Source organism: Homo sapiens, chromosome 17 (assembly GCF_000001405.40).
Source record: "Homo sapiens chromosome 17, GRCh38.p14 Primary Assembly".
Lineage (NCBI taxonomy): Eukaryota > Metazoa > Chordata > Mammalia > Primates > Hominidae > Homo > Homo sapiens.
The window spans coordinates 8,744,862-8,771,576 of NC_000017.11; the positions used below are offsets into that span (position 1 = coordinate 8,744,862).

Consider the following 26,715-nt stretch of genomic DNA (forward strand, 5'->3'; position numbering starts at 1 on the left):
CGTGGAGTCCAGGCGCTGCCCTCTGCCCCCTGCCCCCTGCCCCCATTGGTCCTCCCCTTGCTGGGGTCCTGCTCTCTGCTCCTGCCCTTTGCCCTCAGGAACTTCTGGGAAGGCATTAGGCCTGGTTAGATGCTGGTTGCCATGGAGCCCAGGGCCAGAGGCAGTTTCTGGTGAGTGTGGCTGAGAAGGGGCATCGGGTGGAGGAGCGGCCTTGTGCGGGCGCCCTGCTCTTAGGGCCTCCCTGGGGTTCAGGTGTGGGTGAGGGTGAGGGAGGGGCCGGGCCTTGGTGAAGAAGAGCAGAGAAAGAAAGGAGGTGCTTAGCGGCGGCAGGGGTGGAGTCGCGAGGAGGCGCGAGGTTAGAAACCAGGCGGCGGGCCCAGCACGCGGTGGGGCCGGGTGGGGAAGGGGGGACGGGCGGGGGGTGCGCGGGGACAGGCACAGGAGGAGGGCCCAGGCCAGGCCCCTCAGAAGAAGAGACTCGGGGCCTGCGCCAGTTTTTTGTTTTGTTTTGGTTTTGGTTTTGGTTTTGGTTTTTTTTTGAGACGGAGTCTCGCTCTGTCGCCCAGGCTGGAGTGCAATGGCGGGATCTCAGCTCACTGCAACCTCTGCCTCCCGGGTTCAAGCGATTCTCTTGCCTCAGCCTCTCGAGTAGCTGGGACTACAAGCGCCTGCCACAACACCCGGCTAATTTTTGTACTTTTGGTAGAGATGGGGTTTCTCCATGTTGGCTAGGCTGGTCTCGAACTCCTGACCTCAGGTGATCCACCCGCCTCCGCCTCCCAAAGTGCCGGGATTACAGGCATGAGCCACCGCGCCCGGCCCTGCGCGTTTTTGTTTGCATAAACTTAAAACGGGAAGAAATGTCAAAACACGGTAACGGAAATGACCCTATTTAAAATGTTGACTCCGTGGTGGCCGCCTTCCTTGATCCCGTCAGGCTGCGTGCATTAACTCATCTGGCTGGAGGTCGGACGTCTTCGCGTGGGACGGCGGGTGTGCGGAGGGCGCCCTGGGGTCTCCGGCTGGACTCTGGCCGGGACCTTGAGCTCGCTCCCGCCAGGCGCAGGCTCCCTCTTCTCTCTGCCTCCCTCCCTCCCACGCCCGCTACTGCCGCCACGCCCGCCACACCGCCCGTTCCGCTTCTCTCTGTCTGGGAGGGGGAGCGGGGTGGGGTGCGTGGGTTGTGGTGGGCTAGGGGTCTCGGGCGGGGGCGTGTCCCGAGCGCGGCCAGTCCGCCCCGCCGCATTGCCGGTCGTCTGGCGCCCCCTGCTGGCCGTCTGCCGCGCCCTCCATCCCGGCCCACCCCAGCCCTGCTCCCCTCCCACGCTCCGCCGGAGCCTCCCCTCCAGAGCGGACCATCACACACACCTGTCGCTTCCACCTAGTCCGGTGGGCTCAGCAGAGAAAGCAAGACAGTCCCTACCCCACGCAGAACACACCCACACAATGGCCACCCCAACCCTAAACAAGAGGTGGTTCTCCACCGGAGCCCCGGAGGAACACGCCCAGCAGGGCGACAATAAGACCGCCAAGAACGATTCAAGCTCCTCGGAGGGGCATGTTTCCTTGTTTATCCACAGAGGCTGGCACAGTCAATCTGGGCTTCCCCTCCCTTTCTTTAAGGTCGTGCCTAGGAGCTGTGCAACGCCAGCCCTTGAGGAGGAAGCCATCTGTTTCTGGAATCACCCTCCCCGCCACGTATATGAGACATATCCTTGATTGTCCGTGAAATCAGGTGGTCCAGGGCCAGGTTGGTCCATAGAGGTAGGTGTAAGACATCCTCTGCTCCTGCCCAAGGGTCTCCTCGTATCTGGAAGCTCTTTCTGCTGCTTGGTTTGGTACCTATCATGGGAGTTTTCGTGATCCTTGCACACCACCATCCCTCTCTGGAGTCTCACTGCCCTCCCAGGGACCCTGAGCAAGACGCAGGGCTGTCTCGGATTTACAGAGGTCTGTCCTATCCCCATCTTTTCCCTTCCCTTCCCTTCCCTTCCCTTCCCTTCCCTTCCCTTCCCTCCCCTCCCCTCTCCTGAGGATATAAAATAACTGAATAGACTTACAAAATGTCTAAATGATGGTTCAGTATGGTAAAGCTGTAAATTCCATCCAAATGAATTTAGGAATTTAATGCGATTGCAATCAAAATTTCAGAGAGTTTTTTTCCCCATAGATGTTGACAAAACAATGTAAAAGTTCATCTAGAGAACTGAGTACTTAAGGAACTATCACAAAAGAAGAATGAGAGGGAATGTCCACTGCCAGACACCAAAATGTGTTCTAAGGTGAAAGTGTTAAAACAGCATGTTGCTAGTGCCACTCCAGGCAAAATCCTCAAGTGCTCTAAGGGCTTGGGCAAGTACCTTGCTCTAAGATAGCCCTGACTTTGTGAGCTGCCTAAAGGCATGAAAATTCACAATATTCAAACACACTTCTGACAAAAACCAAAACAAGATCAAAAACACATCTGGAGCCCTGAAATGGGGTACAGGGACCCAGTTTATGATCCTTGACACAATAAACAGAATAGAAAATCCAGAAAGAGTCTCAAGTTTCTATAGGAATGCATTATATGCTATTACGGCATATCCCAGTGGGGAAAGTATAGATTATGCCACAAATGGTGCTGGGATAACTAGCTAATTATTTGGAAAAAAGAAACACATATAGAAATCAAATTCCAGATGGGTTTATTTAAATGGGAAATTAAATGTTCAATGTGAAAATTCATTATGTAGCAGGATATTCAATGGGAATGATACTTTTTTGGTTTTTTTGCCAATGGTGAGAGACCTGCCAGAACACAGCCTTGATCTCGCAAGTCATATGTGAGTCTCTGAAGACTTTACAAGTCTAATTTACAAGTTTAAATTCCAACCCAAAGCGTAGAGAGTCTTCATTTCCCTGCATCCTCACTGCTGTGAACTGAATCTGTGTGCCCCCTCAAAATTCATATGTTGAAACCCTGTCTTAGTCCGTTTTCATGCTGCTGATAAAGACATCCAAGTCTGAAAAGAAAAAGAGGTTTAATTGGACTTACAGTTCCACATGGCTGGGAGGCCTGAGTCATGGCGGGAGGTGACAGGCACTTCTTACATGGTGGTGGCAGGAGAAAATGAAAGGGAAGCAAGAGTGGAAACTCCTGATAAACCCATCAGATCTGCTGAGACTTATTCACTATCAGGAGAATAGCACAGGAAAGACCAGCTGCCACAATTCAATTACCTCTGCCTGGGTCCCTCTCATGACATGTGGGAATTCTGGGAGATACAATTCAAGTTGAGATTTGCATGGGGACACAGACAAACCATATCAAACCCTAATCTCCAATATAATTGTACTTGGATATAGAGCCTTTGGGATGTATTAGCTCCTAAGGGTGGTACCCTCATGATAGCTTTAGTGCCCTTTTAACAAAAGAGACAGCTTGCTTTCTCTCTCTTTGCTCTCTGCCATGTGAGGGAGCAACAGGAAGACAGCCATCTGCAAACCAGCAAGCTGACTTTCAGCAGATGCTGCTTCTCCTGGCACCTTGATCTTGGACTTCCTGGCCTCTAGAACTATGAGAAAGAAATGTTTAAGATTTCCAGTCTGCAAACCAGCAAATGGGCCCTCACCAGACACTGCCTGTCCTGGCACCTTGATCTTGGACTTCTCAGCCTCCAGAAATGTGAGAAAGAAATGTTTTAAGTTTCCCAGTCTATGAGAATTTGTTAGAACAGAACAAACTGACTAAGACACTCACTAACATGGTATATTACCAATCTCTTAAATTTTGCCAGTCTGATAGGTGAAGTTACTCATCTTTATACAGCCATTTCTTCTTCTGTGAGTCTCCTGTTCATGTTTCATGCGCATTTTAAACATCAAGTTGCTTTGCATTTTTATTGATTTATAGAAGGTCTTTATGTATTCTGGAAAGTAATCCTGTATTTTTCATGCTTACTGCTACTCATCCTAATACTTTTGAGTGGATTGGTTGGACCCTCATTGGATGCAGCAAGGGACAGGAAGGCAACTCAGGCAGCAATCCATGGCAGGCTGACCAATAGCCAGTCACACAGGCAGATTCACCAAGTCAGCAGAAGAATTAGCTTTCCCTCCTTCTAGGCTTGGGATTCTCTAACAGCAGAGATGGCACTAAACAGGAGATGTGGGCAATATTTGGTCTGTTTACCCTGTGACTACATCATTGGCAGATAGATACAACAGACCTGCAGTCCCCAAGAATGTTTTGAATTTTTTTTTTTTTTGAGACAGGGTCCTGCTCTGTTGCCCAGGCTGGAGTGCAGTGGTATGATCACGGCTCATGCAGCCTCGACCTCCCAGGCCCAAGCAATCCTCCCACCTCAGCCTCCTGGGTAGCTGGGACTGCAGGTGTGCACCACCACACCTGGCTAAGTTTCGTATTTTTTTTTTTTGAGATGGAGTCTCGCTCTGTCACACCCAGGCTGGAGTGCAGTGGAGTGATCTAGGCTCACTGCCACCTCTACCTCCCAGGTTCAAGTGATTCTCCTGCCTCAGCCTCCTGAGTAGCTGGGACTACAGGCGCATGCCACTATGCCCGGCTAATTTTTTGTATTTTTTTTTGTAGAGACAGGGTTTCACCATGTCAGCCAGGATGGTTTCGATCTCCTGATCTTGTGATCTGCCCACCTCGGCCTCCCAAAGTGCTGGGATTACAGGCTTGAGCCACCGTGCCAGGCCCAGTTTTGTATTTTTATAGAGGTGTGTTTCGCCATGTTGCCCAGGCTGCTCTTGAACTTCTGGGCTCAAACCATCTGCCCACCTGGGCCTCCCAAAGTGCTGAAATGACAGGCATGAGCCACTGTGCCTGGCCATCCCAAGAATGTTTGGAGTGTTCAGGGTCAGTGCAGACTCTTGTTAACTCCCTAAGTTCATCCCATTATAAGTTCACCCCTGGACATTGCACAAACGCTTCTCAAATTCCTCCCAGATCTTACTTGCCTCATTTGCATGTGGTTTATGGTATTGGTGACACGAGGGTCCTAGAATGAAGGTAATCTGTAACAATAGCTTCACGGTTCCATGTGCTGGAATAGTAATTGCATTCTAGGCTCAGCCATGCTTGTGGTTACACAAACATCAACACTTTGCAACCTCCTACTCCTTATCTTGTGTGTCTGTCAAGCATCTCCTCAGAGTTCATTGACTTCAGTGATTTGATGTCTACTAACTAACCCGAGATACTTCCCTCCTGTCATAAATAGTTTTACTGTATGGGCCAAATGCAATGCAGTGTCTCACACCTGTAATCCTAGCACTTTGGGTGGCCGAGGGGGACGGACCACCTGAGGTCAAGAGTTGGAGACCAGCCCGGCCAACATGGTGAAATGGTGCCTCTACTAAAAATACAGAAATTAGCTGGGCGTGGTGGCAGGCGCCTTTAATCCCAGCTTCTCAGGAGGCTGAGACAAGAGAATTGCTTGAACTTGGGAGGTGGAGGTTGCAGTGAGCCGAGATTGAGCCACTGCATTTCAGCCTGGGGAATGGGACAAGATCCTTGTCTCAAATAAATAAATAAATAAATAAAATAAAATAAAATAAAGGGCCAGGGGAGGTGGCTTACGCCTGTAATCCCAGCACTTTGGGAGGCCGAGGCGGATGGCTCACGAGGTCGGGAGATCAAGACCATCCTGACTAACACGGTGAAACCCCGTTTCTGCTAAAAATACAAAAAATTAGCCGAGCATGGTGGCCTGTGCCTGTAGTCCCAGCTACTTGGGAGGCTGAGGCAGGAGAATGGCGTGAACACAGGAGGTGGAGCTTGCAGTGAGCTGAGATTGCGCCACTGCACTCCAGCCTGGGTGACAGAGCAAGACTCCATCTCAAAAACAAACAAACAAACAAACAAAAAGATTCAGCATTATTTTCCAGGGTTAATAGATTTGTTCAAATAACTAAAACCGCATTAAACAAAAATGTCATTGGACAACAAATAAGCAATCCAGACCAATATGGTCACAGTCGTTGTGAAGATGAGAAAACTTCATCTTTATTGCATTTTCCCAGGTAGCGCAGTGCACTGTCCTCTTTGAAACACACAGCTCCTGTCCTCCTTTCAAACACATGTCCTCTTTAAAGTAACATACAAACCTTTCAATACAAGCTAAAAAATTACGTCTGAATTCTCACAGTTCAATAACAAACAAACACTCAACATCAAATAAAAATTTATTTTTACAAGAATTTCGGGGAAATGCCACCTAGCTATAAATAGAATAGATATATTATGTAACTACTCTAGGTCATAACAGTGCTCCCTTCAGCAGCACATGTAATAACAGATAAAAAGATTTAAAAATAAAACATTTAGGATAAAAAGAATCCTCTCTTAAAAATGAAAACAGAATTATATCTATGTGTATATAACAGGTGTAACACCCATCACACAACTTCATAAGAACAGTGTCTTTTAAAAAATACTTGTATTTCTAAACTAGTTAAATAAATGTAGTAATAATGCCATGCCCATCATTTTCAAAATAAACAAATAAAATGTATAGTATATATTGGACATGTTAGTATATATGGAAGGCATGTTAAAAATCACAACTGAATTCTCACAATTCAGTAACAAACAGTAAACAGAAAATAAACATTTCTATTTGCAAGAATGTAGGGGAACTACCACCTAGCTATAAATATAATGGATATATTAGGTCAGTATCATAGATTACAAGAGTGCTCGCTTCAGGAGCACATTTAATAATAGATAAAACGATTTAAAGAGAAAACATTTACGATAAAAAGAATCCTCTCTTAAAAATGAAAACTAAATTATATTTATGTGTATATAACAACCGTCAGAGAACTCTATAGGAACAGCATGTTTTCAAAACTACAAAAACCCCAAACTATTTTAAATCAACCTAGTAATAATTCTATGGCCAACATTTGAAAAATAAACCAACAAAATGTACAGTATCTATTAAACTATCTCTTAAAATCCTATGGCAGTAATTTCATATTTTACAAAGAATTCCGTAACAATCTGAGTGCCTGCGCTGTGCCTTCAAATGCTCTGGACTGTGGCAACCAAGTCCATAGGAAACAGGAACTCCAGCTTCCAGCCCAGGGGAGGCTGGGATTCAGCAACGTGAAAAGGGAGGTTTTGCCGCAGGAAGGGGTGGAACCAGAAACACCCCTGGTTTCTCACTTTCCCTCCACTGACTCCTAGAAATACCTCCATGGCTCCTAGGAGGAAAACCTGGTCAATCTATTTTGCCCCTTCTAGAAGAGTCCAGCTTCTTCTAGATGATCTGCACAGGAGGCTCCTCTCTCCCTTCCTGGTGTCTGGCATTAGCGTCGCGATAAACTTCCTGCTGAAAATTCCCATCTCCCCTGGGCCCAGTGTTCTGGAAGTGAGAGAGAGGATGTCACACTTCAAGGAGGGAGATCTCTAGATAGGAAGGTTATTCCCATCCCACATCAATCCTAACTAGAGTTCAGAGCAATATATAAATCTGATTTTATCTCTAACCCTTTATTGTAAACCCTGATTCTGAACCATCATTTTTGATTCTGGTACTCACACTTTGGTGAGCTTGACTCCAAAAATCACTTAATATACCCAAGGTTAGCCCCAGTGATCTGCTTCATAGCAAGGACTTTGGGTGGCTCCACCCAGGGAGTAGAGCACCCTTGGAGGACGTGGCTTTGGACTTCATCACACTTGGGGCCCTTTATATTGCTTAAGATCTAAACTTTTAACCATGCTACAAACATGTCTAACACGACAACCTCAGGAACCAGCAGACCAGATTCCTAATCCCCAACCTTAATCTCTCATGTTTTAGTCTAATGCTTGGTCCTAAATGTGGTTAGCTGCACAAGATGTCAACCAAATCTTCACTGAATCCTTTCCTCAAATCAGTAACTCAAGTGTATCAACCATAATGAACCTCCCTGGACCTAGGTAGTATTCTCATTTTTGAGAAAGAGTGTCACTCTGTCGTCCCGGCTGGAGTGCAGTGGCAGAATCACAGCTCACTGCAGCCCCGACCTCCGGGGCTCTGGTGTTCCTTCCGCCTCAGGCTCCTGAGTAGTGGGGACTAGAGGCGCCCACCAGGACGCCCGGCTAATTTTTGTATTTTTGTGGAGACGGGGTGTCGCCATGTTGACCAGGCTTGAAGCTGGATCAAGCAGTTGAGTTCCTTGGATTTTCTTATAGATGAGAATATTCTGCCTTTACCCTGGAGGATACACACGTACCTTCCCTCAGGCCGATGACCTCAGGCCTCCATGTCCCCGGAGCTCTAGGAAATGAGGGTGCGATCTCGGGCCCACACCCAGTGCTCTGGGTCATAAGCCTGGATCTGGAAAAACACACACCACTTGAGAAGCCAGGGATTCCCCAGGAAGCCCCCTCTCTGCCCTCCTCCAGCCTCCAGTCCACCCCATCCCTCCCCACCCCCACCTCCTCATATGGCCCCACCTACCTCCTCCATCTCCTCTGGGGAAACCCACGTCCTCCAGCGCATGGAACAGAGGAGCTGGTATCGAAGCTTATGGAACAAGGGTCGCTGGGAGTAGTTCTTCCCGTAGAGGAAGGAGAAGATGTCTTGTTTCGGGGCCTGGTTGTCCTCCTCCATGTCACTGGCCAGGTAGCTGGGGAGAGAGATCAGGTTGCTGCTCAGGGGCCCCACCAGGAGGGACCCCTGCCTGAGGGCAGCCTCTCAGAGAGGAGGGCAGGGGACCTTCCTCAGCTCAGCACCAACAGCCGCCCTGCAGAGAGCCCTGCCTTCCTCAGGAGGCCCCGCTGGACAGAGACCTGCTAAGGGTGCCTCTCAAACCTTCAGGAAGGAGATGATCCAAGTGGTAGCTGGGAGTGGTGGCTCTTGCTTGGAATCCCAGCACTTTGGGAGTCCAGGCAGGAGGATCACTGGAGGCCAGGAGTTAGGGACCAGTCTGGGTAATATGGCAAGACCCCCTCTGAATTTAAAAACAACCCAAGTCTTATGCTAAGGATGTGTCCTGCCATCCTTATACAAGACAGATGACGTCACCTCATCCTAGTCCCCATCCCTGTTCCTCCCACACCCCCCTTCCTTGTCATGTATGCACACACCTGTCTTCCCCCGTGCATCATAAGTGCCCCCAAGGACAGGAACTGACTGGTGTGTTTCTGTAAATCATCTCTCACCTACCAAAAGGCCACTAGAGGGCTTTGTTTATCTTGGTGCATTAATTCAACAAGCATTGCTGTGAACTCTCCCTTCCCATCCTTCCTATTCCCTGGCACATATGATGAACTTCATAAGGTTTTGTTGAATAAATGAATACATGAATGAATGAAGGAAAGAAGGAAAGATTTATCTTATAGGCAAATGCCATATGAATTATTCCATAGAGTCAATATAACATGAGCACTTGCAAAATGAAAAGAATTGTGCTGAGTGTTTCAGGAATACTTTGATATTTTGGCTGATTGGGTGGCTCATGTCTATAATACCAGCACTCTGAGAGGCTGAGGTGAGAACCCAGGAGTTCCAGAACAGCCTGGGTGACATAGCAAAACGTCATCTCTACTAAAAATCATAAAAACTGGCTAGATGTGGTGGCATGCACCTGTAGTCCCAGCTACTCAGGAGGCTGAGGTGGGAGCTTCACTAGAGCCTAGGAGATGGAGGCTGCGGTGAGCTATGATCTGGCTACTGCACTCCAGCCTGAGGGACAGAGCAAGTCTCTGTCCGGTAAAGATAAAAACAAAAAACTTTGATATTTTGACAAGACCCTGCCTTCAACAGGGGTCTACTCTGATGGGTTTGGGGAAAAGGAGGGCAGATAAACGAATCCAAAATGTCACATTATCCTAGGATGTCACTAAAGTGCTGTGGGCGTGCAGAAGCTGGAAGATCAGGGGAGGCATTGCAAAGGCTGTGGGGTTGAACTGACTTTAAGGAATGGGTCATTCCCTTCAGATCCACATGTGTGCAGGACACCCAGACAGAAAACACAAAATCAAAATGGAGTGGAGGGCATTTGGAAGGAGTGGCGAAAGCAAACAAGGAAAGATGAAGATGGTGGGCAGGTTTGGTGGTAGAAGGACTGCAGAGAGGGTTGAATTAGCCCTGTGGACCCGGGCCTCCGTTTAGAGACAAATCAGCTAAGGAGGTTGTTCAGGTGGGCAGTGAAGGGGGGGTGGGAGCTGTGCTTTGGAAAGCTATTCAGGCAGCACTAGGAAGCCCCCTGGCTTGGGGCAGGACTCGCAGGAATGCCCAGCAGGGAGTATTTGATGATGGATCTGTGTTATGCGAGGACGACCTGAATTTCTGCCTCTGTCATGGGAACCTGGAGAAGGAGGATGGAAAATTGCATTTGGTGTTGATATGGGAAGGAGAGAGACGAGAGAACCAGAAATGGCTGCTTGCTTGGGGAGCAGGGTCGTGTCCACGGCTTTCCTTTCCCCTTAGGACGGGTTTATGTTTCCTTTTGTTTGATTCTACTATTTGTCAACTGCATTTGTGTTTGTTTTTAGAAAGAACAGACTAAGAACACCATAGTATAATCTTATCGTTTTTATATACAGAGTAAAGAGGAGAAGTAGGGTAAAAAAATAGATGGAAGGTTGGAATCCCACTTCGTCCACTGTCCCAGGGTGTTGGATATTGACAGATGGGAAGAAGCAAACTACTCACAGAGCCAGGAAGAAATGAATGCGTTGGTATTGCCACGAGAAGAGGCCGGCACGGCTAAAATACGCTATGACCATAGCCAGGAGATACTGATGGAGAGAAGGGAGTAGAGAGAGAGAAAGGTTGGTCACATCCTGGAAGAGGAAGATGGTGGAGAGAAGGGAACAGGGGCTGGGGCGCGGTTGTCTATCACAGAAGGAACCTCAGTGTTGGGTGACTATGCTCATTGGGGGCTTGCGGGTGGAGAGTGTTCAAAGTCAGCTGCAAATCCGGGAAGTCGGAGGGAGGGAGGTCTGTGATGCTCCCATGATGATGAGCTCCAGTGGGATCACTGGAGGGAGAGTGTCTAGGGCTGCTAATGTCAGGAGGGTCTTGGTGAGCTGGGGCAAAGGACTGTCCCAAAGATCTGAGAGGATAGGGGTCAGGAGTTTCAAGACTGGCCCAGGGCCTGGATTCCAAAGGACCCTGTGCAGAGGCAGGGGCCACCCATCAACTATGCAACAGGCTACCAGAGCCCCGAGGGAGATGCTGACAAATTATGAGAAGACCTAGAATAGCTGGGGGCGGTGACTCACGCCTGGAGTCCCAGCTATTGGAGAGGCCGAGGCGGGAGGATCACTTGAGCCCAGGAGGCTGAGGCTGCAGTGAGCTATGATGGCAACACTGCATTCCAGCCTGGGCAACAGAACGAGACCCTGTTTCTGAAAAAATAAAAATCAAAATGTGGGCGCCCAAGAGTATGGAATCAGCAGGTGGGAGATGGTAGAGGGAGAGAGGAGAGAAACTGTGGGTTTAGACGCTGCACCCTTCCCCAGGACGTGTGTTAAAGCAGGAACACAGTTGAGTGGAGAACAACCTTACCTTGTCTGACACCCTCAGGTCTTTGTCCCAGGCCAGGAATTTTTGAACGACAGGATCCCCTGTGAAAAGAGAGCCTGTGTCAGGGTGAGAAGTGGAACAGGGTTGCCGTGGGAGCAGCAGAGCAGAGAGGAGAACTGTGTCCCTCTGGGGGAAGTCTCAGGATTGTGGCCAAGGCTTAGGTGGATGGGAGAGGAGAGAAGGACTTTCACTGGGCAAGGAGGGAGGCTCCCGCTCTGAGATTCCCCTGAGGAGAGGCCGAAGGAGGCCTCTGGTGTCAGAGTCTACAGGATGAAGAGCTGTGAATAAGCCATGATGTCCTCCCATCAGACAGGAAGGGACCACTGCAGAAGTCATAATAGAATTCCCATCATTGCTTCCTGAGATAGTCACAGCTGGGTGTGCCCATGGCCTTGTTATCCCCCTCCACGGATGGAGACACTTAGGTTTAGAAAAGTCATCAAGAGACATAGAGTTTCAGAGGGTACAGCTGAAACCAAGCTTTCTTTTATCTTTTATTTTATTTTATTTTATTTATTTTATGACAGGGTCTTTCCTTGTCAACCAGGCTGGAGTGCAGTGGTGCAATCATAGCTCATTGCAACTTCAAACTCCTGAGTTCAAGAGATCCTCCCGCCTCAGCCTCCCAAAGCACCAAGATCTCAGGCATGAGCCACTGCACCTGGCCAGAAACCAAGCTTTCTTATTTCAAGTGCAGACCTTTATTAAGACTAGCCTAATCCTCTATCTCCTAAGCATCCTCCTCCTGCATGGAGCGCTCATCCCCCAGGAGGGCATATTCTTCTTATTGGGAAAGTGTGATTATTGAAAGATTCCACTTTTTTAAAAGAACAGGGTTGGAGGTGCTTTTTGGGGTATCCTCCTACCAAGGAGCCTGTTGAAGGCCTCGTGGTGCTCAGGGAGCACGGAGGATGCTCGCTTTCGCTTCAGCTTCATCTTGAGCCCACACAGCGTCTCCACCACCCAGGTGTCCTCGGGCTCAGGGGCGCGCTCCAACTCCAGCTCCTCCTCCAGCTCCTCCTCGGATTCGTCTGACCATTCGCTCTTCCTTTTCAGGCCAAGGGATTGAGGCTGGGGGCTGGGATCTATCCAAGGGGCTGAGTGAAGAAACCAGGCCATGGTGTCATGTTTCTGCCATTGATCACCTTAGACGCCCCGACCCAGGAACCTCAAACTACTCTTCCATCCTCCCAAGCCTCGCAGACTGTCAGCTTCTCCAAGCCATGTTTCCACCTTTCTCCTTTGCTGATCCCCATCTGCCTCTCCCTCACCTCCCCATTCTTCCGGCTCTCTGTCCTCAAAACATTTCCTCATCACAGATAAGAACTTTCAATTGGAGAAAAATGGAAACCTTCCCTTGAGCTCTGTCTGCTCTCTCTCTCTCTCTCTCTTTTTTTTTTTTTTGAGATGGAGTCTCCCTCTTGTTGCCCAGACCGGAGTGCAGTGGCACAATCTTGGTTCACTGCAACCTCCGCCTCCTGGGTTCAAATGATTCTCCTGCCTCAGCCTCTTGAGTAGCTGGGACTACAGGCACGCACCACCATGCCCAACTCACTTTTGTATTTTTGGTAGAGACAGGGTTTCATCGTGTTAACCAGGATGGTCTCGATCTTCTGACCTCGTGATCCGTCCGCCTCGGCCTTCCTCTCTCATCTTTTGAGCACATCTCCTGACCCCCTTCATTGCTCCCCAGACTTTCTTTACACGTGGCCATGCTTGGCCCCATTCCCTGCACCCTCCTTCCCCGATCCCTGGCTTCCTGAGTCCGTCGTTTCTTTCCCACACACCCTACTCAGGTGCTTCAGATTCCCAGTAACTGGCCCCCTTCCCTCTCCTCAGTCAATCATCTCCCATCGCTTCTCCCTCCAGTCACCTCACCTGATGGTCCTGGCACTTCATCATCCACCACCACCTCGGGGGACCGTACCGTTGTGCTAGGCTGGGGGCTCTCCTCCTCAAACGGGGGGCGCGCTTGACCACTGGCCATAATCTCTCCCAAACACTTTGTTTCTGTCCACAAAACCTAGTCCCTGTTCTGTCCAAAGCCTTCTTCCAGACTCCGTTAGGACCCAGAAGAGTGCGTTTCTCTTCTAGAGGCTCGGGAGAAGTTAGGAGTGAAGAGTAGTTCTGAGAAGTTGCTGTTGTCCACCTGAACTCCCAAGCAACCAGAGTCCGGTCCTTCCAATCAGGAAAGTCGGAATCTCTGATGTCATCGGTCATTCCAAACTGGCAACTACTTTGAAGAAAAACACATGTAACTGCCAGACTGATCTCTTTTCTTGGAGATCCGGGGTGAACGGTATCTCCTGGCAATGTCCCAACCTCTGAGCATTGTCCAAAAGCATCCTCAGGGTCTCCACATTCCTCTTTTCCCTGTCCCAGCAGAGGCTGTGTCCTCTCCACTCTAAACTTGAGGGGGTGTTGGGCTCTCCTCCCCGCTTCTCCTTCCCATTTCAGAGTCTAGTCTGGTGAGAGAGGGAGGAAGGTGGAAGGAAATTTAGGGTAAGCAGAATGATGAGTCCTTCCAAGAGTGAGATTAACATATACAGGAGATCCTGGGTAAATTGACTTGTTGAATGGAGACGTTACGTCGAAGTACTCAATGTGGCAAAGCTTTTTTGCTGAATGTTTACTGATATTCACTATCCTGGATCCTATAGTAGGGGAACATGCATCCTTTGCTCTCAGGCATCTTTGAGTCCAAGAGACATTTTGAGGAATGAAAATCACAGGAGACTGTCCATGGTTTCGTACAGATTTTCAATGGTGTCCACAAGTTCAGGGCATCCATGGATCACCTAAAGCCTGCCCTCCAGTTCAGCTAAGGAACTCTGGTCTATATATCAACTATTACAACATATCTATTTCACTTGACCCCAAAATTTGCCTACTATTTATGTATTTTATGAATAAAATATCCTGTGTATAAAAAGACTAAGGGGAAAATCTCAGCCAGGCCCAGGGGCTCCTGCTCATAATCTCCCTCCTTTGGGAGGCCAAGGCAGGGCGTCACTTGAGGTTAGGAGTTCAAGATTAGTCTGGGCAACATAGCAAAACGTCATCTCTACAAAATATAAACAAAGTAATCAGGAATCGTGGCACACACCTGTGGTCCCAGTACTTGGGAGGCTGAGGCAGGAGGATTGCTTCAGCCCAAGTGTTTGAGGCTGCAGTGAGCTATGATTGCACCACTGCACACCAGCCTGGAGGACAGAGTGAGACTCAGTCTCAAAAATATTTTTTTCGGAAAAAATAAAAATGTAAGAGCTGGATACTATCTCAGATACCATCCAAAGAACCTGTGAGTTCTGGCACAGCTTCCTAATGGGCTCCTAGGAGTCTCTCGCTGATGGGAAAGGCACAACTGAATGAGGAGGCAGATCCCGTCGCTGTGGAAGTCCAATTGTTAGGAAACTCTGCTTACATTGAGTGGACCTTCGCATTCACGATGCTTTCAACCATCAGAACTGGTTGGATCCTTTTACAACAAAACAGAAAATCATCTTTCTCTCCTATTTAATAGGCTTTCAAACATTAGAAGATCAATATTCTGTTGCCATTAAAATTTCTCTTCTGTACCACGTAAAGTTCTGATTAATCACTCTTCAAGCCAGTTTTACATATTCCTCTGTCTTCTAGGCACCTTCTGTAGACAGGCTACAATAAGGCAGCCATCTTAAATTATGTCAATACATTGTCCAAAAATGAGCTAAACAGTTCAGGTTTCATCTGATATGTTCAGGGAAAAGCAAAACTATCACTTCTCCCCTTCTCTTTTCCTTCAGTGATGCAGGTTAATACAACAATGGCTGTAGCTATGCACCAAAGATATCATTAGAGTGAAACAGAAGGGCTTTATTGGCTGGCATGGTGGCTCCTGCCTGTCATCCCTACACTTTGGGAGGCCAAGGCTGGAGAATCACTTGAACCCAGGAGTTGGAGATGAGTCTGAGTAACGTTGTGAGACTCCGTCTCTCCAAAAAAATTTAAAATTAGCCTGGTGTGGTGGCACACACCTGTAGTCCCAGCTAGTTCGGAGGCTGAGTTTGGAGGAGAAGAAGTGCTTTGCAAATACCAGCCTTTCAGCCTAAGGATCTCAACTAGGAACATTAAGATACAGATGCCAGGACCCAGCCCCACAGATTCTAATTCCAAAGGACTGAGGTGGGGGCTGATTTAACTTCATCATTGGAGTCCATTCAGATTTGGAACTCTCTGGGTGGGGCAGCGCAATAGAGATCCCAAAGAAAGCAAAATCACTCTCGAATGAAATGAGCAGGAAAGATTTTTTGAGCGAGGTAAGTAAGACCTGGGCCTCACATGGGAGGGCTGTCACCAGGCTTTGTATCCTTGGCTTAGTGGGAACTTTTGAAGCAGCCTCCAAGGCCCCTGTATGCTGGTCGACAAGCCCCCTAACATTGGCTCACAACTGTAATTCCAGCACTTTGGGAGGCCAAGGCAGGAGGATTGCTTGAGCGCAGCAGTGCAAGACCAGCCTGGGCAACTTGGCGAAACCCTGTCTCCACCAAAGTATAAAAAACTAGCCTGGGTGTGGTGGCGCATGCCTGTACTGCCAGCTACTCAGGAGGTTGAAGTGGGAGGATCATTTGAGCCTGGGAGGCGAAGGCTGCAGTGAGGCGAGTTAACGCCACTGCACTCAAGCCTGGGTGACAGAGTGAGACTGCATCTCAATTAAAAGAAGAAACACTAAAAATTTTCACTGAGAATATAAAAGAACTGAATAGAGACTTACAAAATGTCTAAATGATGTTTCAATATGGTAAAACTGTACATTCAATCCAAATGAATTTAGGAATTTAATGCGATTGCAATCAGAATCTCAAAGAGTTTTTCCCCCCGCAGATGTTGACAGAACAATGTAAAAGTTTATCTAGAGAATTGAGTACTTAAGGAACCATCACAAAAGAAGAATGAGAGGGAATGTCCACTGCCAGACACCAAAATGTGTTCTAAGGTGAAAGTGTTAAAACAGCATGTTGCTAGTGTCACTCCGGCAAAATCCTCAAGTGCTCTAAGAGCTTGGGCAAGTATCTTGCTCTAAGATAGCCCTGACTTTGTGAGCTGCCTAAAGGCATGAAAATCCACAATTTTCAAAGACACTTCTGACCAAAACCAAAACAAGACCAAACACAAATCTGGATCTGGAGGCCTGAAACGGGTTACAGGGTCCCAGTTTATGATCCTTGATACAATCAAGAGAATAGAAAGTTCAGAATAAACCCAAGTTTCTATAGGAATGCATTAAATGCTGTCATGGCATATCCCAGTGGGGAAAGTAGAGATTAAGCCACAAATCATGCGATCACAACTAGCTCATTATTTGGAAAACAGACATATACAAATCAAATTCCAGGTGGATTTATTTAAATGGGAAATTAAATGTTCAATGTGAAAATTCATTCTGTAGCAGGATATCCAATGGAAAGGATACTTTTCTGTTTTTTGCCACTGGTGAGAGAGCTGCCAGAACACAGCCTTCATCCTCAGAAGTCACAAGGCTCACACATCATATCTGAGCCTCTGAAGACTTTACCAGTCTAATTCACAAGTTTAAATTCCAACCCAAAATGTAGAGTCTTCATTTCCCTGCTCCTCAGTGCTGTGAACTGAATCTGTGCCCCCAAAATTCATATGTTGAAACCCTATATTAGTCCGTTTTCACGCTGCTGATAAACACATACCCAAGACTAGGAAGAGAAAGAGGTTTAAATTGGACCCACAGTTCCACATGCCTGGGGAGGTTTCAGAATCATGGCAGGAGGTGAAAGGCACTTCTTACGTGGCGGCGGCAAGAGAAAATGAAAGGGAAGCAAAAGCGGAAACCCCTGATAAACCCTTCAGATCTCCTGAGACTTATTCACTATCAGGAGAATAGCATGGGAAAGACCGGCCCCCACGACTCAGTTACCTCCCCCTGGGTCCCTCCCATGACATGTGGGAATTTTGTGAGATACAATTCAAGTTGAGATTAGAATGGGAACACAGAAAAACCATATCAAACCGTAATCTCCAACGTAATGGTACTTGGATATTCAGCCTTTGGGAGGTAATTAGCTCCTAAGGGTGGTGTCCTCACGATGGGTTTAGTGCCCTCTCTCTTAGAAAAGAAAGAGCTTGCTTTCTCTCTCTTTGCTGTCTGCCATGTGAGGGAGCAATAGGATGACAGCCATCTGCAAACCAGCAAGCTGAACTTCAGCAGACACTGCCTCTCCAGGCACCCTGATCTTGGACTTCCCAGCCTCCAGAACTGTGAGAAAGAAATGTTTAAGATTCCCAGTCTATGGTAATTTGTTAGAGCAGCCCAGACTGACTAAGACACTCACCAATATAGTATGTTATCAATCTCTTAAACTTTTGCCAGTCTGATAGGTGAACTTATACATCTGTATACAGCCATTTTTTCTTCGGTATCTTATTCACATTTGATGCATATTTTAAAAATCAAGTTGCTTTGCATTTTTATTGATTTATAGAAGACCTTTCTGTGTTCTCGAATGTAATCCTATATTTTTGATGCTCACTTCTATTCATCCTAATACTTTTGAATGGATTGATTGGACCGTCATTGGATGCAGCAAGTGACAGGGAAGGCAATCAATGCAGCAATCCATGGCAGGCTGACCAATAGCGAGGTGCCCAGGCTGATTCACCAAGTCAACAGAAGAATTAGCTTTCTCTCCTTCTAAGCTTGGGATTCTCTAAAAGCAGAGATGGTACTAAACAGGAGAGGTGGGGCAATATTTGGTTTGTTTACCCTGTGACTACATCATTGGGAGATAGATACAACATATCTTCAGTCCCCCCTCCCCATTTTTTTTTTTTTTTTGAGACAGGGTCTTGCTCTGTTGCCCAGGCTGGAGTGCAGTGGTATGATCACAGCTCATGCAGCCTTGACCTCCCAGGCCCAAGCAATCCTCCCACCTCAGCCTCCTTAACAGCTGGGACTGCAGGTGTGCACCCCCACAACTGGCTAAGTTTTGTATTTTTATAGAGGTGTGGTTTCATCATGTTGCCCAGGCTGGTCTTGAACTCCTGGGCTCAAACCATCTGCCCACCTGGGCCTCCCAAAGTGCTGAGATGACAGGCATGAGCCACTGTGCCCGGCCATTCCAAGAATGTGTGGAGTGTTCAGGGTCAGTGCAGACTCTTGTTAACTCCCTAAGTTCATCCCATTATAAGTTTACCCCTGGACATTGCACAAACGCTTCTCAAATTCCTCCCAGATCTTACTTGCCTCATTTGTATGTGGTTTGTGGTATTAGTGACAGAAGGAAAGGTCCTAGAATGAAGGTAATCTGTAACAATACCTGCACGGTTCCATTTGCTTGAATACTAATCATGTTCTAGACTCAGCCATGCTTGTGGTTACACAAACATCAACACTTTGCAACCTCTTCCTCCTTATCTTGTGTGTCTGTCAAGTGTGTGTCCTCAGAGTTCACTGACTTCAGTAATTTGATTTATACTAACTAAACCAAACATACTTACCTCCTCCCATAAATAGTTTTACTCTATGGCCCAGATGCAGTGGCTAATGCCTGTAATCCCAGCACTTTGGGAGGCCGAGGCTGGTGGATCACCTGCAGAAGGGAGTTCGAGACCACCCTGGCCAACATAGTGAAATCCCATCTCTACTAAAAATACAAAAAAATTAGCTGGGTGTGGTGGCAGGTGCCTGTAATCCCAACTGCTTGGGAGGCTGGGGCCAAAGAATTGCTTGAATCTGGGAGGCGGAGGTTGCAGTGAGCCGAGATTGTGCCACTGCACTCCAGCTTGGGCGACAGAGTGAGACTCTGTCTCAGAAAAAAAAAACGTTTTCCTGTATGATGAACAATGTGCAACATATATATGCAGATATTTTCTGCCAGCCTGCTGTTTGTCTTTTAATTTTATGTTATCTTTTATCATAGAAATGTAAAATATATATATATATATTTTTGAGACAGAGTCTCACTCTGTCACCTAGGCCGGAGTGCAGTGGCACAATCTCGGCTCACTGCAACCTCCGCCACCCGAGTTCACACCATTCTCCTGCCTCAGCCTCCCAAGTAGCTGGGACTACAGTCGCCTGCCACCACGCCCAGCTAATTTTTTTGTATTTTTTAGTAAAGACCAGGTTTCACTGTGTTAGCCAGGATAGTCTCGATCTCCTGACCTCGTGATCTACCCGCCTTGGCCTCCCAAAGTGTTGGGATTACAGGCATGAGCCACTGCGCCTGGCCAGAAATGTAAAATATTTATCTAGCTGAATCTGTTGATCATTCTTTTTATCTTCCTGAGTTTTGTGTTTTCTTTAAAAAAGTCTCCTGCACTTAAAATTATATTTACATTTAGAATTGTATTTTTAAATGTTGTTTATTTTTAATTGTAGTAAAATATACATAACAACAAATTTGCCTTCTTAAGCATTTTTAACTGTACTGTTCAGTATTGTTAGGTATTATTCACATGATTGTGCCACCAATGTTTAGAACATTTTCAGCCGGGTGCAGTGGCTCACGCCTGTAATCCCAGCACTTTGGGAGGCTGAGGTGGGCGGATCACGAGGTCAGGAGATCAAGACCATCTTGGCTAACACGGTGAAACCCTGTCTCTACTGAAAATACAAAAAAATTAGCCGAGCGTGGTGGCGCGTGCCTGTAGTCCCAGCTACTTGGGAGGCTAAGGCAGGAGAATGGCGTGAACCCGGGAGGCGGAGGTTGCAGTGAGCCGAGATCGTGCCACTGCACTCCAGTCTGGGCAACGGAGCAAGACTCTGTCTCAAAAAAAAAAAAAATAATAAAGGAACATTTTCATCTTGTAAAACTGAAATTCCATTCCCACTAATGAATAACTTTCCATTTTGCTCTTCCCCTGGCCTCTGACAACTACCTTTCTACTTTCTGTCTCTATGAATTTGATTACTCTAGGTACTTCATATAAATGAAATCATACAGTGTTTGTCTTTTTATGACTGGCTTATTTCATTTAGCATAGTGTTTTCAGGGCTCATCATTGGGTAGCCTATGTCAGAATTCCCTTCCTTTTAAAGCTTGAATAATATCCCCTTCTATTAATACTATATTTTGTTTATCCATTCATCCATTGATGGACATTTGGGTTAATTCCACTTTTTGGCTATTGCAAATAATGCTGCTATGAATGTGGGTGTTTGAATATCTCTTTAAGACTCGGCTTCCATTTTATGGAGTGTATATATTTAGAAGTGGAATTGCTAGATCATATAGTAATTCTATTTTTAATTTCTTGAAGAAACCGTACTGTTTTCCACAGTGGCTGCACCATTTTACATTTTCACCAACAACGCACAAGGGTTCCAGTTTCTCCACATTCTCACCAACACTTGTTATTTCTGTTTTTTTTTAAATAGTAGCCATCCTGATGGATGCAAGGTGACATCTCATTGTAAAATTATGTTATTTTTTAATTACAAAGCTAATAAGTGACTACATTCTCATTATACATCATTCGAACAATAGAAATACATCTGGAGCCCTATTTGTCCACCACCGAATCCCGTTCCCAGAGGTGACCGTGCATTCAACAAATACTTATGTCGAGTATCTGTGATGGGCCTGATGCTCTTCTGGGCTAGGGATGCAGCAGTGAACAACACAAGCTCTTCACTGTTATGGAAGTGGGAGGAGGAAACAACCAATGAACAGTGACCATGGGTGGGGAGGTATGGGGAATTGAGATAAAGGAACCAGTCAGTGCCCACAGACACAAGTACCTCCCATAAAACCTTCTCACGGGGTTGCTGATCCTCCAGGCCTGTGGGCACAGGGCCTAGGCCCTATGAGCTTCTTGGGAGCCTATACCAGTGTTTCCAGCTTGAAAATAATCGCTGGCTCTAAAATGCAAAAAGGAAGCCACAAAATAAAGAATACATGTTTAATTAGATGCTTACAAATGTTAACACACCAGCTTCATGAATTGCTAACTTTAGCATTCATACAACATTTCACACATTTGAAAGTAATCTGTGGATTTAATTTCCTCACTTCCCGAGAATTCCCAATTATGCACAGATTTTTTGGGGAAAAAAGCTAAGCAAATTGTGAATTAAATGAGTTACTCAGACAAATAATTTCAAAAGCAAAATTAGAAAAATCTTTTTGCCTTTTTTTCCTCCCAAATTATTTTTAATGTCGATGAAAGTGAATTTTAATCTGTTTGTTATGGCAACGTTTAGGGCTTAGTTAAGTTTGCTGCAGGGTTAGGTTGTCTAAAGATGGCCCCAGTGGGTTTTCAATAATACAACGGTGCAAGGCCGGTGGCCTCCCTGAACCCAACCATCTTTTCATGGAATGATTCTATGATTCCATTTTGGCAGTTTGCTGAGGCTGAGGAAGACAGGACCCCTCAGAGGCAGTTTCAAGGGCCACTCTCAGGGAAAGGATGAGGCAGAACACTGGTTGTACTCATCTCACTGGGCAGTCATGCCTAAGTCTGGTCTTGGAGACCAGCCTCAAACCTCAGCCTGTGCTGTGGCTTGTCCCTGACATGTTAAATGGCCTCCTGTTCTGTTTTCATGACCAATTTCCCAATGCTGGGATTACTCAGAAGAGAACTCCCACTGGTCCAAACTAACAGCTCTGCTAGGCAGTAGCTGAAATAACGCCTTTCCTTCTGACCTTGAGTGTTCTGGAACTGTGGCTCTCTGCCTTCACCAGGAAGCTGACCGATGCTCTAGGTCCACATATGGAAGTGACTGCTAGTGACCTCTTCATCTAGAAAGACATAAGTGGGTAAAAGGAAGCTTCTTATGCTCTGCCCCAACTTATTCCATCCATTTTCTTTTTCTCCTTGCCCAGACCCCTTCAGCGAGGACAACTTTCTTTTATCTGAAGCATTTCAATAGTCATACTTCTCAGTCTTCAGACTTCAAATTTGATTCTCTTTTATTTATTTATTTATTTATTTATTTATTTTTTGAGACAGCATCTCATACTGTTGCCCAGGCTGGAGTACAAGTACAGTGACGCAATCATGGCTCATTACAGCCTCGACCTCCCTGGGTTCAGGTGATCCTCCCACCTCAGCCTCCCGAGTAGCTGGAACTACTGGGATACGCCACCACAAAAAAATTACAAATTTTTTTTGTATTTTTTGCAGAGGTGGGGTTTCGCCATGTTGCCCAAACTGGTCTTGAATTTGCAGCCTCAAGGAATCCTCTTGTCTCAGGCTTCCAAAATGCTAGGATTACAGGTATGAGCCACCTCGCCCGGCCCAAATTTGATTTATAAAAAGAAAATGTTGCCCCCGAACACATCCCTATGTAGTGGAAGTGTACAGAATAACAAATTTAGCATAATAGTTACCATCTCCTGGTGATGGTGGAGGGAAGGACATGGCACCGGGGAGGCTTACTATATATTGGTAATGAGTAATAGTTTAGATTGAGCTCTGGGGACATGGTGCTTATTATTATTATGTGTACCTTTTGCTATATATGCAATATTTAATAATAAATTAAAAAGAAAATACTACAATTGCTTATATGGTGGTTAATCATTTTTGTCATTCTTCAGTCTTGGAGATTCTCCTCCAAATCTCGTTTCAATCAGTCGTTTTCCCTTTCTTTTGTGAACCTCGACTAACATCCTTCACCTTCTTATTTCCTGAAACTTGATTGACATTCCACCTTCTAAATGTGACATCCATTCTTGCTAATAACTCTCTCTTGTTGGGTATTCCCCCACTTTGTCTCTTTATCTCCTTGGAAACTGTGTAGTCTTAAAATATTTCAATGTTCCTTACCTGCCACTTCTTCACTTACCACACAGAATCCCAGAATTGTGGAGCTAGAAACACCTGAGATCATCGACTCCAAGCTTTTCATGATAATAGAAGAAAAACAGTGGAGACTTGGAGATTAAACTTCATCTCCAGCAATGGCGAAGCTGGGAACTGAAATGAGGCTAACGTCAGGCTTCCTATGAGATTGTAACCAGGAAAGGGTCCTGTCCCTGGAGATGCTGCAGAAATGGGAGGGAGGTTGATCTCTGGAGGTTCCTCCAGAAGAGGAACAGATATTATGGATGGGGACTAGTGTGGGATACGATGAGGTTTCTCTTCAAAAAATCTGATCAATCTTTTATTCTTTAATTTATAGTAACCCCCCCCCCATTTTTCTCCCTTTTTCTGTTTTTTTCCTTCTTGCCTTTGTTAGATGCCCAGGCACGCCACAGTACCAGGTGTTATCAGTACCAGCTCACATTCCTTTCCTTATTTGGAAAGAGGACTAACTTTCTGGCTCATTACAGACACCCCTTCCCCTTTCCCTCCACTTTCTTTTACGTGCCCACCCTATCTAAAAAAAAACAATGTTTAGCCAACCGGGATTAGTTTACATTGTACAACCCGACCCCAGCCAATGGGGAAAGGGTACAGGGCAGGACTTGCGTCAGGAATAAAGGCTCTCGTGCCCCTTTGTTCAGGTGTGCTCTCACGGCAACTGGCCAAGGAGGCACCCCTCTGCACAGAAGTAAAATTGCTTTGCTAAGAATCCTTTTTTCGTGTGTTCAATTTCCTTAGGATTTTGAGCATTATTCCTAACAGTAGGGGATGTCAGACTGTTGATCTGTCGCCTTCGTTTTGCCCTGGCAAGACCCCGGCACACCCTGTTGCCACTGTATGGCAAAAAAACAGCATTAGTCCAGGGCCAACTTAATGCCAACTCGGAGCAGCGAGGTGAGAAGGGAGCAGTGTTACAGCAGATACAAGGGCCCTCCAGTGGGAGAAGGCTGACTACGCCCTCTTCCACAGGTGCTATAGACTGAATTGTGATCCCCCACCGCCACTCCCAAATTTGTATGTTGAAATCCTAATCCAATATGACTGTATTTGGAGACAGGGTCTTTAGGAGGTAATTAAGGCTATATGAGGTCATAAGGATTGGCCCTGATCTCATAGGATCAGTGTCTTTATGAGACACCGGAGAGCTTGCTTGCTCCCTCTCTCCGTGTTCACGCACAGAGGAAAGGCCATGTGAGCACACAGTGAGAAGGCAGCCATCTGAAACCCAAGGGAGAGCCCTCACCAGACACCGTTCCGGCCGGCACCTTCATCTTGGACTTCCCAGCCTCCAGAACAGTGAGAAATAAATGTCTGTTATGGAAGCCACCCAGTCTGTGGTATTTTGTTACAGCAGCCTGAGCAGATGAATATAATGGAACAGGCAGTTGCAACAGAGGGAGGCAGCCCTTGGAAAAGAATAATATCTGAGAAAGAGGCTCTGGAAGATTTGCTGAGGAAAAGTATTGCCTGATTTGGGGAGACAAAAGGGAAGTGGTTGGTTTCAGACTGCAACACCAGAGGCTCTCTCAGTCGACACATATGCATTGGCAGCCAATGTAGTTGGTAGTCCCAAGGACAAGAACTCACAAGGAAAAAGAACGGGATGTCTGAGGAGGGCAACGGTCATATGAAGGGCAACGGTCATATGAGAAAGATAAATGGAACAATCTGTATCAAAGGAAACAACCAATCAATTAATAGAATCGAAATTAAATTTGAAATAAGCATAACAAATGTGTTTAAAGACATGAGGGAAGGTATCAGAAATGTGAAGCGGAAGCAAGCCCAAATATTGTCGAACAAATTAGATGGACATCCTGAATGTGAAGACTGAATGAATTAAAGAACTCAATGGATACACTGAGTGGCAGGATGGATAAAGACAAAGAGCAATTAGCGAGTGGAAGACCACGTTAGCAACTCTCCTAGAGACATCAGGAAGAGATAAAGAATAAAAGCTAGGAAACAGGAGTGAGGTAAAAATGTAAGATTTAAGTAGTAAGATGAGTCTCATAAAAAGAAAATGGAGAAGGATGAAATAATCTGAATAAAAAGTGACCAAGAATTTCCAAGAGAGACTTCAGATTCACCAAAAAAAGCTCATATCTAAGAAGACAAAACAAAACATTCTAGCCAGACCCAGACATATTACGGTGAAACTTAAGAATAGCAAAGACAAATAGAAAATTACTTTTTAATTCAATTTTTAATGTTGGGCAGATAGTTGATTCTCATGGTTCAAAAGATTCAAAAAAGGAGTATATAGTGAAAAGTCTAACGTTCATTTCTTCTTTTATCCATCCATTTCCCAACCCTTCCGCATAGATAACCACTTGTATTACTTTTGGCATATTTTGCAGAGTTTCTTTATGCAAATATGAGCAGACATGAATATAATCCTAGTTTTCTTTCTTTCTATACAAAAAGTTCCATATAGATCCTGTTCTATATTTTTATTACTTTTTATTTTGTTAATATACATTAGGGATTTTTCCATATCAATACACAAAAGGTGCTTTTAATTGCATAATTTTTTTTCATTGTATGGCCAAACCCTAATTTATGTAACTGGTCTCTCACTGATGGACATTTGGGCTATTTTCAGTTTTTTTTTGTAATAGATAACCTTGTATAAATACCATTTAATGAATCGGCAGGTGTATCTGTAGGATACATTTCACAAAGTAGGATTTCTGGGTCTACCCACTTGTTTTTCTGTTTCTGTGAACTGCCTGTGATATCCTTTGCCTATGAGTTTATTGAGTTTATTTACAAATCTATGCCTTTTCCTTATAGATTTGTAGGAGATTTGCAGGAAGAATAGCCTCTTGGACATGAAATGGGTCGCAAATATTTTTCCCAGTTTGTGTTTTGACTTACGCTGAGGTGTTTTTTTTTTTTTTTTTTTTTTTTTTTTGAGATGGAGTCTTGCTCTGTCGTCCAGGCTGGAGTGCAGTGGCGCGATCTTGGCTCACTGCGAGCTCCGCCTCCTGGGTTCACGCCATTCTCCTGCCTCAGCCTCCCCAGCAGCTGGGACTACAGGCACACACCGCCACACCCGGCCAATTTTTTGTATTTTTAGTAGAGACGGGGTTTCACTGTGTTAGCCAGGATGGTCTCGATCTCCTGACCTCATGATCCGCCTGCCTCGGCCTCCCAAAGTGCTGGGATTACAGGCGTGAGCCACCGCGCCTGGCCGGTAGAATTTTTTTTGGGGGGGGACAGGGTCTTGCTGTCACCTAGGCTGGAGTGCAGTTTCATAATCATGGCTCACTGCAGCCTCAACCTCCCAGGCTCAAGTGATTCTCCCACCCCAGTCTCCCAACTAGCTAGAACTACAGGCATGTGCCATCACACC

The 26,715-nt window shown here is 46.1% G+C and overlaps 1 protein-coding gene and 3 long non-coding RNA genes across 6 annotated transcripts, besides 3 other annotated features; 2 read left to right on the top strand and 2 right to left on the bottom strand.

Annotated features, from left to right (window-relative positions):
- The first annotated feature begins 64 nt into the window (after positions 1 to 64).
- LOC105371529 (uncharacterized) lies at positions 65 to 4,244 on the top strand. Of its 2 annotated transcripts, none has more exons than XR_934217.4 (3): positions 65 to 170; positions 1,624 to 1,764; positions 3,459 to 4,244. It is a non-coding gene; the product is annotated as an uncharacterized LOC105371529 (long non-coding RNA). The 2 variants fall into 2 exon arrangements; XR_934220.3 differs by lacking the exon at positions 3,459 to 4,244 and adding an exon at positions 2,171 to 2,690.
- Positions 408 to 627: an enhancer, noted in NCBI's record as "active region_11700". NCBI's record gives its function as "activates an Ori minimal core promoter by ATAC-STARR-seq in GM12878 lymphoblastoid cells {active_cell/tissue: GM12878}" and the evidence as "EXISTENCE:reporter gene assay evidence [ECO:0000049][PMID:35858748]".
- Positions 688 to 797: an enhancer, noted in NCBI's record as "active region_11701". NCBI's record gives its function as "activates an Ori minimal core promoter by ATAC-STARR-seq in GM12878 lymphoblastoid cells {active_cell/tissue: GM12878}" and the evidence as "EXISTENCE:reporter gene assay evidence [ECO:0000049][PMID:35858748]".
- Positions 1,018 to 1,287: a silencer, noted in NCBI's record as "silent region_8186". NCBI's record gives its function as "represses an Ori minimal core promoter by ATAC-STARR-seq in GM12878 lymphoblastoid cells {active_cell/tissue: GM12878}" and the evidence as "EXISTENCE:reporter gene assay evidence [ECO:0000049][PMID:35858748]".
- Positions 2,671 to 13,685, bottom strand: SPDYE4 (speedy/RINGO cell cycle regulator family member E4). Of its 2 annotated transcripts, none has more exons than NM_001128076.3 (7): positions 13,413 to 13,685; positions 12,401 to 12,631; positions 11,517 to 11,575; positions 10,659 to 10,744; positions 8,460 to 8,628; positions 8,233 to 8,336; positions 2,671 to 3,005 (listed from the first exon to the last, which is right to left on the bottom strand). In NM_001128076.3, the coding sequence occupies exons 1-6, from the start codon at positions 13,519 to 13,521 to the stop codon at positions 8,277 to 8,279; spliced, it is 714 nt and encodes a 237-aa protein (NP_001121548.1). In that variant the 5' UTR covers positions 13,522 to 13,685; the 3' UTR covers positions 2,671 to 3,005; positions 8,233 to 8,276. The 2 variants fall into 2 exon arrangements, with proteins under 2 accessions (NP_001121548.1, NP_001381885.1); NM_001394956.1 differs by lacking the exon at positions 2,671 to 3,005 and adding an exon at positions 5,992 to 7,376.
- A 7,297-nt stretch (positions 13,686 to 20,982) lies between these two features.
- LOC105371530 (uncharacterized) lies at positions 20,983 to 23,419 on the bottom strand. The gene is made up of 3 exons (XR_934221.3): positions 23,338 to 23,419; positions 22,193 to 22,288; positions 20,983 to 21,408 (listed from the first exon to the last, which is right to left on the bottom strand). It is a non-coding gene; the product is annotated as an uncharacterized LOC105371530 (long non-coding RNA).
- LOC124903918 (uncharacterized) lies at positions 22,723 to 24,066 on the top strand. The gene is made up of 2 exons (XR_007065608.1): positions 22,723 to 22,766; positions 23,345 to 24,066. It is a non-coding gene; the product is annotated as an uncharacterized LOC124903918 (long non-coding RNA).
- Positions 24,067 to 26,715: the final 2,649 nt, after the last annotated feature.

Bases quoted from the DNA above. Each gene is read 5' to 3' on its own strand.
- SPDYE4 (NM_001128076.3), bottom strand. From the start codon at position 13,521: ATGGCCAGTGGTCAAGCGCGCCCCCCGTTTGAGGAGGAGAGCCCCCAG. The intron at 8,629-10,658 runs GTGAGTAGTTTG...CTCTCTCCCCAG, and splicing joins ATTCATTTCTTCCTGGCTCT to CTACCTGGCCAGTGACATGG. The intron at 8,337-8,459 runs GTAGGTGGGGCC...GTGTTTTTCCAG, and splicing joins CCCCAGAGGAGATGGAGGAG to ATCCAGGCTTATGACCCAGA.